The 16,427-nt window shown below is 38.4% G+C and overlaps 1 long non-coding RNA gene across 1 annotated transcript; it reads right to left on the bottom strand.

The window, feature by feature from the left end:
- Positions 1-4,967: 4,967 nt before the first annotated feature.
- LOC105371544 (uncharacterized) lies at positions 4,968-12,886 on the bottom strand. Its single transcript, XR_934239.3, has 3 exons — positions 12,531-12,886; positions 10,773-10,953; positions 4,968-5,050 (listed from the first exon to the last, which is right to left on the bottom strand). It is a non-coding gene; the product is annotated as an uncharacterized LOC105371544 (long non-coding RNA).
- Between the last annotated feature and the right edge of the window lie 3,541 nt (positions 12,887-16,427).

Raw genomic sequence — 16,427 nt, 5'->3', positions numbered from 1 at the left:
CTAACATTAATGCTTACTTCCACATTGCAGGCTTGTACAAAGTGATATAGAATTTTGTAGTTCTTAGGGATATTCAGGGTTCAAATCCTGACCACCCACCACATCACTTAATCTCCTTGTGCCTTAGTCCCTCATTTTTTTTTTTTTTTTTTTGATGGAGTCTCACTCTGTCGCCAGGCTGGAGTGCAGTGGTGCAATCTCCACTCACTGCAACCTCCGCCTCCCAGGTTCAAGTGATTCTCCTGCCTCAGCCTCTCAAGTAACTGAGACTACAGACTCATGCCACTACACCCAGTTAATTTTTGTATTTTTAGTAGAGACGGGGTTTCACCATTTTGGCCAGGATGGTCTCCATCTCTTGACCTTGTGATCCGCCCACCTCGACCTCCCAAAGTGTTGGGATTATAGGCGTGAGCCACCGCGCCCAGCCAGTCTTTCACCTTAAAATGAGACTGATTATCACGTTGTAAGGTTGTTAATGAAGATCAAAAAAGTTGATATGTGAAAAGAAACTAAAATCGCACTATATAAATGTTGGGTTCTCTTTTATTTATGTTAGATTAAATCTGATATATCCAAGTTTGTTTCTCCAATGGCATGTGATCAGAATTTCATCTGTGTAAAAGTTGCAAGGATTTTTTTAATTGATAACTTCACTGAATTAAGAGTTCTACCCTAAGTGATTCAATATTAGATTATGACTCAACCATGATTCAAATGTACATGAAGATATCATTTATACTGATTTCCTTCTGTCTGTGATCCTCATTATGTCAGTTTGGTGAAGTAAATTTAAAGAGTTAAATTTCAGCAGCTGTATGAGTAATGATATTGCACTTCATTTAAAATTGCTACTTGATCCAAGCATTCTGATGGGACACCTGGCAAGGTTAGTTATGCAATAGAAGCTGTGGGCTGGTGGCAAATGCTGGCTGTGAAGTCATGTGTAGTAACCAAATTGATAAAGGACATTTGCTTAAAAATGTTTTGGGGCACGCCTTCGGCCTTTGAACAACTGCAAGCACAGTGGAGTGGAAAGAGTGCAGACATGGGTTTGAGAGTTCTGAACCTGGTCCAGCAGTTCTAAGATCATAGAGTGGAGCAGTAAGGTTCAGACTTGATACAGAGAAAGCATCCAGCACACAGCTAATACCTATGACATTAAGTGGTAGTAGTGTGGGTTAAAATGAATGTCTGATAGTGAATACTAATGAGTAGCCACACAAAGCAGGAATCAGAGACACTTGGTCTTTCCAGTTATTTAATCTTAGATAGAGATTCAGCACTACCCTTTTCTAGGTGGGTGACTTTGAAAAAGTTAATTTAAATATCTAACCTTCAGTTTTATCTCCGGCAAATTGGGAATAATGCTTGGAGAGGTTGTGGTAGAAAAAAATGTTAGAAATATTATGTGTAGTGTGACTAGCTGAATGTGTAACGTAATAAATGCTCAATAAAGAAGCTGGCTTTCCCCGGCAATAGATTTTATATCACTTCTTTCCCTCTATCCCTGCATATTATGTGGGGTGTGCTGAATTCCTACTAACCCTAATAGGAGAGGCATCAGTTTCAAGAGGCCAAAGAAGAAACCCAGAGCCAGCAAATGAGACGTGGGGTACTATTATTATTTTATTATTATTATACTTTAAGTTCTAGGGTACATGTGCACAATGTGCAACTTTGTTACCTATGTATACATGTGCCATGTTGGTGTGCTGCACCCGCTAACTCATCATTTACATTAGGTATATCTCCTAATGCTATCCCTCCCCCATCCCCCCACCCCACAACAGGCCCAGGTGTGTGATGTTCCCCTTCCTGTGTCCAAGTGTTCTCATTGTTCAATTCCTACCTATGAGTGAGAACATGAGGTGTTTGCTTTTCTGTCCTTGCAATAGTTTGCTCAGAATAATGGTTTCTAGCTTCATCCATGTCCCTACAAAGGACATGAACTTATACTTGGGGTATTATCAGGGGTTTACATACAGGGTACAGAATCCAGTGGCGATGAGTTGAACAAGATACCTGCCTTACCTACAGTCTAGTGGTGGCGAGCTAGGCAGCAACACTGCAACCCCCTGCAAAGAGCATGCAGTTTATATGACATTTTCACCTAATACCCTCCCCTTAATTACCTCCTCCTGGTAAGTTTCATTTAACCCAAAACTCAGGAGCTCAATCCCCTGTATGGCCCATGGGTGCTCGGATGTTCCTCATAGACAAGGAATGGATCTCCCGATTGGCCATGCCCAGTTTCCCAAGCACGGAACACACATTCAGATGCCTGTGCCATACAGGGTGAATCTAAGGGTATGCCTAAGTTATTGCTATGGGGTGTGTTTGCCCTACAAGTCCATTTACTTTCATCATAGGAGTCATCATTCAATATCCAAACTTAAATGTATTTGCTTTTGTTTTATATATTTCTTCAGGCCACCTTTTTGGTGACAGCGAGAATTATCCCTATTGTTCTTTTTTTTTTTTTTTTTGAGACGGAGTCGCTCTCTGTTGCCCAGGCTGGAGTGCAGTGGCATGATCTTGGCTCACTGCAACCTCCGCCTCCTGGGTTCAAGCAATTCTTCTGCCTCAACCTCCCAAGTAGCTGGGACTACAGCCGAGTGCCACCACGCCCGGCTAATTTTTATATTTTTTTATTAGAGACGGGGTTTCACCATATTGGCCAGGATGGTCTCAAACTCCTGACCTGGTGATCCACCTGCCTTGGCCTCCCAAAGTGCTGGGATTACAGGCGTGAGCCACTGCACCCAGGCCCTTCTTGTTCTTAACTCTATCCTTAGTATGCTGCACATATAAGTCACATAATAAATGTTGGATAAATGAACAAAATAAATTGTTATTATTACTATTATTATTATTGATTTGGATACCTGAGAGTAAATAAGTCTTTTCAAGCTTTTCATATATGTTTTAATTGTTTTTAGTATTCTACTAGGTGTTGTTTTTTTTTTTTTTTGAGATGGAGTCTCACTCTGTTGCCCAAGCTGAAGTGTAGTAGTGTGGTCTTGGCTCACTGCAACCTCCACCTACAGGGTTCAAGTGATTCTCCTGCCTCAGCCTCCCAAGTAGGTGGGATTACATGCGCCTGCCACCATGCATGTAATTTTTGTATTTTGTTTTTTTTTAAGTAGAGACAGGGTTTCACCATGTTGGCCAGGCTGACCTCAAACTCCTGACCTCAAGTGATCCGCCCGCCTCAGTCTCCCAAAGTGCTGGGATTACAAACACGAGCCATGGGGCCCGGCCTCCACTAGGATTCTTGTCCTGAGTATATTACACTCTAGCAAAATGTTTACAAGCCTTTTTTGCCCTTAGTTTAATAATTCATAATTCATATATTATGCCGTATGGGTCTTATTAATATTAATAGGTCTTGACCTTTCTATACATCTGCACTTGAGTAAGAACTAGCTGCATTTAATGACTGGATTGATGAGACAGGGATTTGTGCCAGTGGAGTTAATTATGGTGACAGGTAGATTTTGGATCAAATAGAAAAAGCTACCATTGTTTTCAAGAGATTATTGGCCCAATCATCACAGGTGCCAAGAAATTTAATTGAAAGGCTTCCTAAAAATCTTCTGACCTCTCCTGACCTCATTACACCTGCCAGGAGGCAACAAGGGCTATTGGAAGGAGAAAGTGAAGATGGGAAAGAAATGGAAGAGATTCCAATTTCGAATTTGTTTCCTGAGAAACAAAACAAAATAAAACTGTTCATTGACAGTTTGGTCTTTTTGTCTCTTGTTTGTTATATCATGCTCTAGGTTTTTATAATATCACATTAAATTCGGTGATTTATGTTACCATATATTTTAAGTTTATAATTAAAGTATCAGCTAACAGATTCTGCTTAAAGTGTGTTATGTAAATTATCTTACCCTGCCACAAAATCTTCTATGATATATGTGTGTGTGTGTATATATATATATATATATATATATATATATATATTTTTTTTTTTTTTTTTTTTTTTTGAGACAGAGTCTCACTCTGTCACCAGGGTGGAATGCAGTGGCATGATCTCAGCTCACTGCAACCTCTGCGTCCTGGATTCAAGTGATTCTCCTGCCTCAGCTTCCTGAGTAGCTGGGAATACAGGTGCACTCCACCATGCCCAGCTAATTTTTGTATTTTTAGTAGAGACGGGGTTCCACCATGTTGGCCAGGATGGTCTCGATCTCTTGACCTTGTGATCCACCCGCCTCAGCCTCCCAAAGTGCTGGGATTACAGGCGTGAGCCACCGCGCCTGGCCTCTTCTATGGCATTATTAACATCATGTCCATTTTAGAGATGACGAGGCTTAGAGTAATATGCCCAAGGTGTCACAGGTGCTAGATAATTGTGTGGCGATTTGAACACAGGTGAGCCCACAGGTGTAATCACACTACAGGGGTTCACAAGCTGTGATCCAGCAACCCTAGCTTAAACTTGCTAGGAATGCATATTTTCTGCCTCACCTTAGACTTACTGAGCTAGAAACTCTGAGTGGGAGCCAGAAATCTGTATTCTATGTGACTCTAAGGCAAACTGATATTTGGGAACCACTTCTATATTGTCTTCTCCTCTGCATGGATGTAATTAAAATGTATATTTGCTAATCATTCACCAATAACTTGAATTACTTTACTATCTTCTCAAATCAGTGTCCTTATTTGAATTAAACTCAGCCCAGTATATGTAAATTACTGAGTTAATATCTTTGTCATGTTAAAAAATAAAGCATTCAAGTGTCAATTACAAACATACATAAAGAAAAGTAGTATATCCCCTCATTAAAGGCAATTAGCCTCTCTTAATAGAATTCCTAGAAAGATATTGGAGTTGGAATTGTACGGATTTAAATTACAGATCTCAGGCAAATGTTTAACTATGATATTGGAAAGTGGGAGATTAAATGTTCATTTATGTATGCAAACAGGCAGAGATGCAATTACACAGATTCCAATGCTGGTTTACACAGTCTAGGCAAAAGACCAGTTTATTTGTGTATCAATTTTTCTTCGGAGGCCATAGCATGTCGGTCTCTGTCTGAAATAGAAAATATATGAGTTAAAAAGAAACCATGATCCAGCAATTACTGCTAGGTATTTACCAAGAGACATGAAAGCGTATGTCCCCACAAAGTCTTATACAGCAATGCTTACAGCAACATATTTGCCCCAAACTGGGAACAACCCAAATGTTCAGAGCAGGTGAATGAATAAACTGTGGAATATCCTAAAATAGTCTACAACTCAGCAATAAAAAGAAAGTAATCGATGCTCACAACAACATAGATGAATCTCAAGCTAATTATGCTGAAAAAGTCAGACTGTAGAGATCACATAATGTATTATTCTTTTCATATAAAATTCTAGATAATGCAAAGTAATGTATAGAGACAGAAAACAGATCAGATTTTCTGGGAAGTAGGTTGATGATGGAGCAGGTAGGTGTAGAAAGGGGCTAATGATATGTTGAGTATCTTGATTGTGAATATGGATGCATAAACTGTGTATACTTATATATGTCAAAAGCTATTGCTTGTACAGCTTTAACATGTATGGTTCATTGTATATCAGTTACACCTCAATACAACTTTTAAACATTTCAATTTAAATAGTTACATGTGGATAATGGCTACAGTCTATGTAGAAAAAATATAATGACTCACCATCAGTTGTGGTGACTTCAACATCCACATAAATGACTCACCCCAATCCTGGTGCTCCTGTTGTTTGACCTCCTTATTTCCACCAACTCTTTCCCTCACTCCATTTCTGCTACCTACTGCTATAGTCATACCTAAGACCAGCACTTTACAAACTGCAAGCCATAACCCAACAATACGTCTAAAATATAGTAGGTTGCAACCTGCAATTTTTAATGAAATAGAATAGATGGGAAATACCAGAGTATTTCTGGCATTATCTTAGTGTGTCTCAGTGGTAATGATCAGTAGTGTTTTGTGAAACTTAATTATACACGTAGGGATGTAAGCATGTGTATGTATATTGAATTGCATGTAAGATTTTTTACTGTAGGTTGCCGGGCGCGGTGGCTCACGCCTGTAATCCCAGCACTTTGGGAGGCCGAGGCAGGTGGATCATTTGAGGTCAGGAGTTCGAGACCAGCCTGACCAACATGGTGAAAACCCATCTCTACTAAAAATACAAAAATTAGCCAGGCGTGTTGGTACACGCCTGTAATCCCAGCTACTCAGGAGGCTGAGGCAGGAGAATTGCTTGAACTGGGGAGGTGGAGCTTGCAGTGAGCCGAGATGGAGCCACTGCACTCCAGCCTGGGTGACAGAGCAAGACTCCATCTCAAAAAAAAAAAAAGAAAAGAAAAGAAAAGAAAAAAGATTTTTTACCATAAGTTAAAGTCAAAAAAATTCCAACATTACTGCCTTGTCATCATTACCCATAACTGTACTATCTCCAAAAGCCCTCAAATCATTGCATCCTATTTTTATTCATTCCTCACATGTGTATGTTGATTCTTCTGTTTCCACTGTTTGATATTTCCTTGTTTTTTTTTTTTGGTTTGTTTTGTTTGTTTTTTTGAGATGGAGCTGCGCTCTTTGTTGCCCAGGCTGGAGTGCAGTGGCACAATCTCGGCTCACCGCAACCCCTGCCTCCCAGGTTCAAGCGATTCTCCTGTTTCAGCCTCCCAAGTAGCTGGGATTATAGGCGCCTGCCACCACGCCAGGCTAATTTTTGTATTTTTAGTAAAGATGGGATTTCACCATGTTGGCCAGGCTGGTCTCAAACTCCTGGCTTCAGGTGATCCAAATCCACCCTCCTCAGCCTCCCAAAGTGCTGGGATTACAGGCGTGAGCCACAGCGCCTGGCCTCTGGTGTCTTTTCCTTTCTCCCAATCAGCTCAGATTCCACAGTTTTTCTTACAATCTCTTCCATCTCTCCCATGTTTCCTCCTTAAATTCCCTTTCTTCTTTTACTTCATAGTTATTTGTTTAAAAAATTACACCTTGGTTGGTCCCAAATCTTGATCTATTTCAACCTACACTCAGGCATCTGAACACAGCTCAAGAAAATGCAAATGAAACTGGGCTGATGAGTTGTATTAAAAAGTTTGTGAGCACAAATGCCAGGTGGGCTGTCTTTTCTGAAGTTCCCAGAAAATTCACTTTCCCCCTTAATTTCACGTCTTCTGTCCCTACCTCAAGAACACACCTTCTGTCCCTACCTCAAGCCTCCTCCAGCAGCAACCCTATAAGCCTGCCTTGAAAAAACAGAAATGAACAGTGAAACACCAGTATGAGAAAAGCGCATTCGAGGTCTTGGTGAGATAAAATAAATACTGAAATAGGATTTCCTGAGTAAGTTAGCATGAACAATAGAAGGTGATGGAATGGTTAAAATGAAAGTTACGTAAGAGAATTCCATGCCTCATCTTCCTCTACCACCAAATGTCAGATTCACCTGTACCTGTACCCATATACTTTGCCTTAATCTACCTGTGCCCCGGGCCATTTTCTCTTCTTGGGTATGAGATCTTTTTACTTCTCACCTACCCCAGTATGAAAACTGAATCAGCTTTATCTTGGATGCTAATCACCATGTTGACTTCTGATGAACCCCTGTTCCTGGAAGATCTCTAAGGTTTCCAGTTTATCTATTCCTCCTTATATAAGAATGCCTCCTTACTGTAAATCCTGCCCTTAGATCAAACAACACTGATATTGTCATACTTCAGTTGTCCTACATATCCCTTCTGAATTACCCTTTTCCAGTGGTATATAAGCCCTGGCTCTGGGGAGTAATGGCACCAGGATCCACCATTTTGCCTTGACATTACCTGGGACACAGACTTGGCTTCTGTGTGTAAGTCCCTATGAACTGTTTCTTTCTAAGAAGCTGGATTTGTCAGCCTCTTTTTTTAAGGCTATCAGCTTCCTTGGACTTTGGGGTAGGTTTGCCCACTGTGAAACACCAAGGCCTTAGTTCCTGTAATTGTGTCCTTCCCTTATGGACTGAGTCATTCTTGTCAACATGAAATATAACATATAACATACAACATACAACAGATCTCATCTTTCAAAAAATCTCCTCAACCTTCCCTTCCAGTTTCCAGCCTATTTCTCTGCCCTCCCTTGTTTGCCAAACTTTTCTCTAGCTTACCTAGAATGCTCTTCCTCTCAATTGGAGCATTGCCATCAAGAAACACACATGCTACACGTGTTCCTTTTCCATCTGAAAAAGATGAAGCCCTCTCTAGATCTCACTATAATAATTTAATGAAACCATTATTGCCAAGCTAAGGAATAAATTACATCTTGCTAAACTCTATTTCTTATGTCTAATTCTACTTGGTTAATAACACCACTGGACCCAGTAGACACAGCTGATCTTTCTTGAAACTAGTTTTTCCTCCACCTCATTATGCTAGACTTATTTTCCTCTAACCCCACGGACTGCTTCTTCTTGTGTTTCTTTTCTGGCTTCATAATATGGTTTGAGTGCGTCCCCTCTAAAATTCAGGTATTGCCAATGTGATAGTGTTAAAAGGTGAGGCCTTTAAGAGGTGGTTAGGTCATGAGGGTGCCTGCCTTGTAAATGGGATTAAGGCCCTTATAAAAGAGGCTTCTCGATTGAAACCATCCTGGCCAATATGGTGAAGCCCCGTCTCTACTAAAATACAAAAAATTAGCTGGATATGGTGGCACGTGCCTGTATTCCCAGCTACTCACGAGGCTGAGGCAGGGGAATCACTTGAACCTGGGAGGCAGAAGTTGCAGTGAGAGGAGGTTGCAGTGAGCCGAGATCTTGCTGCTGCACTCCAGCCTGGCAACAGAGCAAGACTCCGTCAAAAAAAAAAAAAATTCCTCCACACAGAAAGTGGCCTTTGCTTTTGCTTCTCTCACTTTTTGCCATGTAAGGACACAGTGCTCCTCCCCTCTGGAGGCTGCAGCATTTAAGCTGCTGTCTTGGAAACAGACCAGACTCTGCAGCGCCTTGTTCTTGGACTTTCCAGCCTCCAGAACTGTGAGAAAATAAAGTTCTCTCCATCATAAAATAGTCAGTCTTGAGTATTTTCTTATAGCAGCATGAATAGACTAAGATACTCTTCTTTCTTTTCCTAATTTTATGTGGGAATATTCCAGGTCTCAGACCTTGGTCTTCTTCACTTTTCTACTTATACTGTTTTATGCTCTCTTCTCAGGACAAAATTAAATTTATTTCCATGGTGTTAAATGCAATCAGGGCCAGGTGTGGTGGCTCACACCTGTAATCCTAGCACTTTGGGAAGCCAGGGTGGGAGGATCACTTGAGGTCAGGAGTTTGAGATCAGCCTGGCCAACATAGTGAAACCCCATCTCAGCTAAGAATACCAAAATTAGCTGAGCGTGGTGGCACATGCCCGTAGTCCCAGCTCTTCGAAAGGCCAAGGCAGGTAAATCACTTGAACCTGGGAGGCAGAGGTTGCAGTGAACTGAGATCACACCATTGCACTCTAGCCTGGGCGACAGAGGGAGACTCCATCTCAAAATAAATAAAAATAAATAAATGCAATTAGTAAGTTGGTGGATCCCACATTTACATCTCTAATCTGAGTTTATATTCTGATCTTCAGATTTATATTTATTTGACATCTCCGCCTAGATATCTAACAAGCACCTCAAACTTAGTATGACCAAATCTCTATATTTGATTTTTGCTTCTGAACCATTCTACCCGGAACCATTCAGTAGCCATTTTGCACTATCTCTGTTTCTCTAAATATTTACTTAAATGGCATAATCATTCTCTGAGTTGCTCAGGCCAAAGACCTAGAAGCCATCTTTGATTTTTCCCTTTTTTCTTATACACCACATTGCATCCATCAGCAGATTCATTTGCTCTCCCTCCAAAATATATTTCAAATATCCTCTCTTATCAGTGTCTTCATCAATAACACTCTAGTTTCTCTCCCAGAAAACAAGTCTCTACACTGATATTCTTGCTCCTTCTCTTGTTCCTATAAAGTTCCTTCCATATGCATTGCTACAGTAATCTTTTCAATAAGTAAATTGTAATATATTACTCTTATTCAAAATCCCTCAATATTTAACCATAACAACTAGAAAGATCTCTATACTGCTTCCCCTGTTTTAAAAGAAGTAAATGATCAAGCCCATATTTATCTAATTTCGTATGTGTTTAATGAATAAATGAATGAGTGAACACATACATAAACGGAAAAATAAACAAAATGAGTAAATAAAGACAACAGAGTTTCATGCTTATGAGCATGGGCTCTGGTATTAGATTACTTGCGGTCATATTTTGGATTCAAAAAATAATTATGGGATCGAGAGGATTTAACTCTGTCTGCAAGGACTGTTTTGATTCTAAGTGATAGAAAATCATCTCAACTAGCCTAAACAAACAAAAAAGAGAGAATTTATTGACTTCTATCACCAGAAAATTCAAGGGCTGATTCTGGCTTCAGGCACATTTTGCTGTAAGTGCTCAGATGATATTATTAGGAATATGTCTCATTTTCTCCATAAATCACCAATGGTATCCTTGTATTGTCTTCAATCTTAGGCTAACCTTATCCAAAATGAGGAAAGAGTTATCTGTTTTCATTTTGTTTTATAGCTAGAGAGTCCATGAAAAAGAGTATTTTTCTTTCTTTTTGTTTGGAGAGTTCCAGCAGAAGTTTTAGGGAAGACTCCAATGGACTGAATTTGGGCAACTTGCCTCATCCTGATCCTATCACTGTGGCCAAGAAAGAGTTAGCCCTGCCTCATGTGTCCACTCACCCTTCTGGTCAGGCAGGATCCACGTTTCCCAAAACACACGGACTAAGAATGGCGGTGTGTTGGCTACCCAAAGACATGCTTCACTTCCCTCACATGTAAAATGGGACAAGAGAGTTCCCACTTCTTAGAATTGTTATGATGATTAAATGGGATGTTATATATAAGTTTTATTGCACTGTGCCTGGCAAAAGACAAGTCATCTGTTAGTGTCAGTTAGATACAAACAGCACATAGAAAACCTTTGGGATGTGGACAATGTTCCATTCAGAAAAAAACTTAAAATCCTAAACACTTCCATCACCAAAAAAGAAAAAAGAAAAATAAATAAAATATGATCTTTGTTCTTGCTCAAAATTCTAAAACAGCACAAGATGCATCTAAGAAAAGAAGAAAGAAAATAACAAAGTTACAAGCAAAAAAAAAAATCAATGAATTGGAAAATAGGAAATGATAGATATAGTTCTCAGTTGCTTTTGTGAACAAAATAAATAAATATGTATAACTCTGGCAAGCTTAATAATAAAGCTGAAAGCAAGTTACTAAATGAGAATTAAAATAATGACATAAATAGATACAATATTTTTAAAAATTAGAATGGGGTGCATACACTATTTGGTAAATATAATAATTTTAGCTTTTTTTAATGTTTATTAAGTAATTATGCTAATAAAACATTGTTATTATGGAAAGAAAACAATTAAGTATAGCAAAACAAGAATGCCTTTTTTTCCACATTCTTTCCCTCTTACTCTCCTTCTTAAAGACTGAACCCGGGAGGCGGAGGTTGCAGTGAGCTGAGATTGTGCCATTGCACTCCAGCCTGGACAACAAGAGCTAAACTCTGTCTCAAAACAAACAAAAAAACAAACAAGCAAACACACCACTGTCAAGGGTTGGGTGTTCATTCTTTTTCCCCACTGAAGCATTTACATGTTTTCCATGTCAGATGGGAAAAATCTACATCTGAGGTTATTCTGTCTGTACTCCTCTGGAACTTGCTTTTTCACTTAAACAAATGTGTTGATGAAAAACTCAGTTAATGACATATGGATCTAACTCACCCAATTTTACACCCTCAGAGTGTTTCCCAGGAAGGTTGCCTTTTAATTTATTCAATCACCCCTCTATTGATGGATATTTAGGATGTCATCAATTTTGCTGTTACAAACAACAAGGAAATTGAGCATCTCTGCATAAACATCTTTGAATACAAGTGCAAGTATTTCTTTAGCATAAATTTCTGGAGGGATTTATCATTTCTATTTCTATAGAGGGTGGCAAATTGCCTTCCTAGAAGTCAACACAAATGTACTTTTCCTGTAACTCTTTCAGATTTTCTATTTCCTGTTTGTCTTTGAAAACATTTTCTATAACCCATGTTTTTATTCGGCCAGTATGTGGGGCCACCTAATAACTAACTCCTTTCACACATTTCACCACTCCCCAGAAGCAATTTCTACCTCTCATCGGTCAGAAGAATAAAAAACAAAGATGGTCTCTCTGTTTTATCTCACCAGACTTGAGAATATTTGTAAAAATCATCAGGATTATGCCAATTTTCCAGAAGGCATAGAAGCAGAATTAAGCTTGACTCCCCAGCTCTGTTCTAGTTAAATGAGATTTCCTCTCTTTTCCTTTTATTTTAATTGATGGATTTTAAAATGGGAGAGAGGTAAATTATTTCTTCATGTTCATCAATTCCTTTAATGGGAAAGAGATTTACTGTGTAGAAATTTCAGTCATAAGGTGGATGCCTACCTCTTTTCTAGGAGTGTAATAACCTCTTGATCCTCTCTGATATTAATTTTACTTATTGAAAGTGTTTTTGCTGTTGTTGTTTCCTCTGTTAGCTATTTTATCTCCAGGTGTTTCTTCTTTTAATCCAATTAAGTATTGACCTTTCCCGTTGGTTCAAATTAGGTGGAACTCAATGCCGTTACTGATGTCTAACTGTTTTGTAACCCATAAAAATGGCTATTTCACTTGTTCAGCCTAACATTTGGCAAGTCTTGTAAGAGTCCTTGTTTTCATGCCTCTTTTTCTCTATGTAGTTTGGTCACTGTGATAAGGGATTGGAGCTCTGGCCAGCTTGGCCCGTGAGGACCAGAATGTCTGAGGGTTTTTCCACTTCCGGGCCACACGAGGGCACACTGTGGGTGAGAGGGTAGGGGAAAGGGTTGCATCACCCTGAAGAATGGCCCCTCTGTGTTTGGAACCCACCCCTTGACTGTGGCATTGTAATCACATGAGACCACTCTCATCTCTGTAATGGTTTTCTCCGACATTATTTGGACAGACAGTTGGCTCCACATACCTTATCTATGCTCCATCTTGCTTTCATCCATTCTGCAACATTTCTAGTCTACTTGTTACTATTTTTCCTCCCCCTCCACCTAAACTAATAGATTCACTTTGAGTGGGTAGGAACATGGAGGAGTGTGTTCAGTTTACCATCTTGTTCTGACTTCTCATGAATGATTTTAAGGAATAATTACTGATTCAAGAAATGGTAGAAAATTTTAATAAAACAACCATGAACAAATATTTAATTGCCAATTAAGGCTCCAGACCTGAATTGATTTATGAATAATTTTTATATTACCCGCAAGAAATATATAATCCACAAGTAATTTATATTTCTTGGAAAAACAGAAAAAAAGTAAACAACTACAACAACAAAAATTTAAAGTTTATATGTCATTTTAGAAATTTGCCTTAATCATTAAAATATACCTGGCAAAAATTGGATACAACAAAACCTGGTCTTTTGAATAAATATAGCTGCAAATGTCCCAAATAATATCCTAGCAAAACACATACAATAGCAAAATGATAATAATAATATCACATTACCAAGTATGGGGATATGTGTACACTTCAACATTAAAACAAATTGATGTAATATAAAATGCTACTAGATCACAGAAAGCAAAAAAGCGAGTATCCCAATAGTTGTAAAAGGCATTAAACAAAATCCAACTATTTGTAAAATGTGTATTTTTAATATTAGCAATAAAGTTAGCTAATTCCTTAATTGGATGAAGAATGTGTAGGAGAAAAAGAACAAATGTCATTCCTAAAGATCCAACTATAGAAACATCCTCATTATTAACATAAAACATAAGAAGGATACCTGCTATTTTACTATTATTTTATACTCTTCTTATACTTGTAACCAATGCAACATGACCAAAAAAATGAATGAGTTAGACTTTTTGGAAAGAAGATTTAAAATTTTCATCATCTATAGATTAGAAAATTGTCTACTGGAAACCATTGAAACAAATAGAAGGGCCTGGTAAAGACGAAAATTATTGAATGTATATGTGGAAAAGTTAATAGCTTATTTATATATCAGTGAAACATTGTGAAAAATATTATAGGGAAAAGATTTATTCACAAAACAATTGTATACCTAAATGACTTAGGAATCACCATAACAAATGATGCAGGAATTTTATGAAGATACAGAAAAATTTTTCCTCTGTGATGAACTAGGTTAATTGAATGAGGCAAAAAAGGTATACCATGTTCGTGGAAGGAATTATATTATATTATAAATATGTGAATCCCCTCAAGCAATATATAAATGTAATAACAGTTCAATAAAAATGTAAGTATTGGGGGGGTACTTGATCTTATAAACCTAAAATTTCTAGGAAAATAAATACATAAAGATAGCTGAGACATTTTGAAATGCCAGTGTCTCAGTTGGAGCTTAAACAATAAACATTTGTTTCTCACAGTTTCAGAGGCTGGAAGCCAGCATGGTTGGGTTCTGGTAAGGGCTCTCTTCCTTGTTTATAGGTGGCTGCCTTCTTGCTGTGTCCTCTCATGGTAGAGGCAAAGATCATCTTCCTTACGTCTCTTCTAATAAGGGCATTAATCTCATTCATGAGGGCCCCACCCTCATGGCCTCACAAGGGTCCCATCTCTAAATACCAACATATTAGAGATTAGAGCTTTAACATAGGAATTTGAGGGAGAGACATTTAGTCCATAGAAGGTGGTTTAGGGTTTGGAGTCATAAGATGAATTGTATAATACTAGGATAATATGTGGTTCTGATTAAAATGACAGATTAATGGAACAAAATAAAATGGCTCAGGATTCAGACATGTGACAAACATAAGATAAATGTATCATTTCAAGTCAGTAAGGAAAGACTAGGTATCAGGAAAACTACTTCATTATTTGGGGGAAAAAAAAGGTTAGACTGTTACCTTACAACAAATAGAGAAATTGATTAGGTAAAAAATTTTACTCAGAATTGCTTTCTCAGTAACTCTCCCTAATCTTACCTTTTTCTTTGGGATGTTTAATACATCAGTTTGAATTTCTCTGCCTATTCACAAAGAGATCTAATCATATACAAGCAAAATAGGGTCTATCTTTTGTCTCGACATGACTATGTCTAAAAATGCTATTTTTTCCTTTGTAAATGGGGTTTCGTGATTTTTTTTTTTTTTTTTTTTTTTTTTCAGAAAGGGTCTTGCTTTGTCATCCAGCCTAGGGTGCAGTGGCACAATTATAGCTCATTGGAATCTCAACATCCCACACCCAAGCATTCCTCCCACCTCAGTCTCTGGGGTAGTTGGGACCATAGGGTCATGCCACCTTGCCTGCCTAATTAAAACAAAAAAAAAGAAAAGAAAAATTGGTAGAATCAGGGTCTCACTATGTTGCCCAAACTGTTTTCAAACTCCTGGGTCCAAGTGATCCTCCTGTCTTGGCTTCCCAAAGTACTGGAATTATAAGCACAAGGCATAGCACTTGGCCCTAAATGAGTCTTAAAAAGTTGTGTTCTTAGATAGTCTGGGATTTTAGTCATTCTAAGTCCTTTAAAAGAATATGGTCTGTGTCGGAGGTCAAGCTGTAAAAAGCTTAGAGGTGAGTTTGAGCTTTTAGTGTTTAATTAGTAAAGTTAAGCATTATCTTCATAGCCCCAGCTAATACAATTCCAGCAGTTAAAGGGCAGGGTGTTAAAGAGATGAGGCTATAAAATGCTCCCTTTTTTGGATAGGAAATAAAAGATACCTTCAGAGTAGTAACACTGGCAAAATCAATCTCTCTCTCACTCCAGGAATTATGAGAAGGGGTTAAGTTTGCAGGAAAATCAACTATAGGCCTTTTCTAGGAAATGACAAAAGTTAGAATGAGCAGAAGCTCTGGGAGAAGAAAACTTTGGGGGGTTTTAACATTTTGAGGATGTTTCTATTAGTCCTAAAAGTGTGAAAGAAACAGAACAAGGAACTGCAGATTGAGTTGAAAAAGTGTGTTTTAGTCTGAGATAAAATAAGAGTATCTTTTATGAGTAAGTTGTGTTAAGTAGGACAATGCCCAGCCTAAGGATTAATATTGGCTTTGGAGTTAGGCAGAGGTGTGAGAGAGCTTGATCATGTCACCTCCCAGCTGTGCAACTTCTGGCATGTTTGCTCATCCTCTTTGGACCTCAATATCCCCAGCTGTCAAATGGGGCTAATACAACTTACACACAAGGAGGCCCTGGGAGGACTCAGTGAGATAATGGTTGCAAGGCACTTAACACAGTGCTTGACAGATAGTAAAAGCTAAAAATAATTAGCTATTATTATTAATTGTATTGACTAATTATTGCATCATTATTATTATTATTATTATTATTATTTTGAGGTG

Source organism: Homo sapiens, chromosome 17, assembly GCF_000001405.40.
Source record: "Homo sapiens chromosome 17, GRCh38.p14 Primary Assembly".
Taxonomy (NCBI): Eukaryota; Metazoa; Chordata; class Mammalia; order Primates; family Hominidae; genus Homo; species Homo sapiens.
This window is presented reverse-complemented; position numbering and strand designations above follow the sequence as displayed.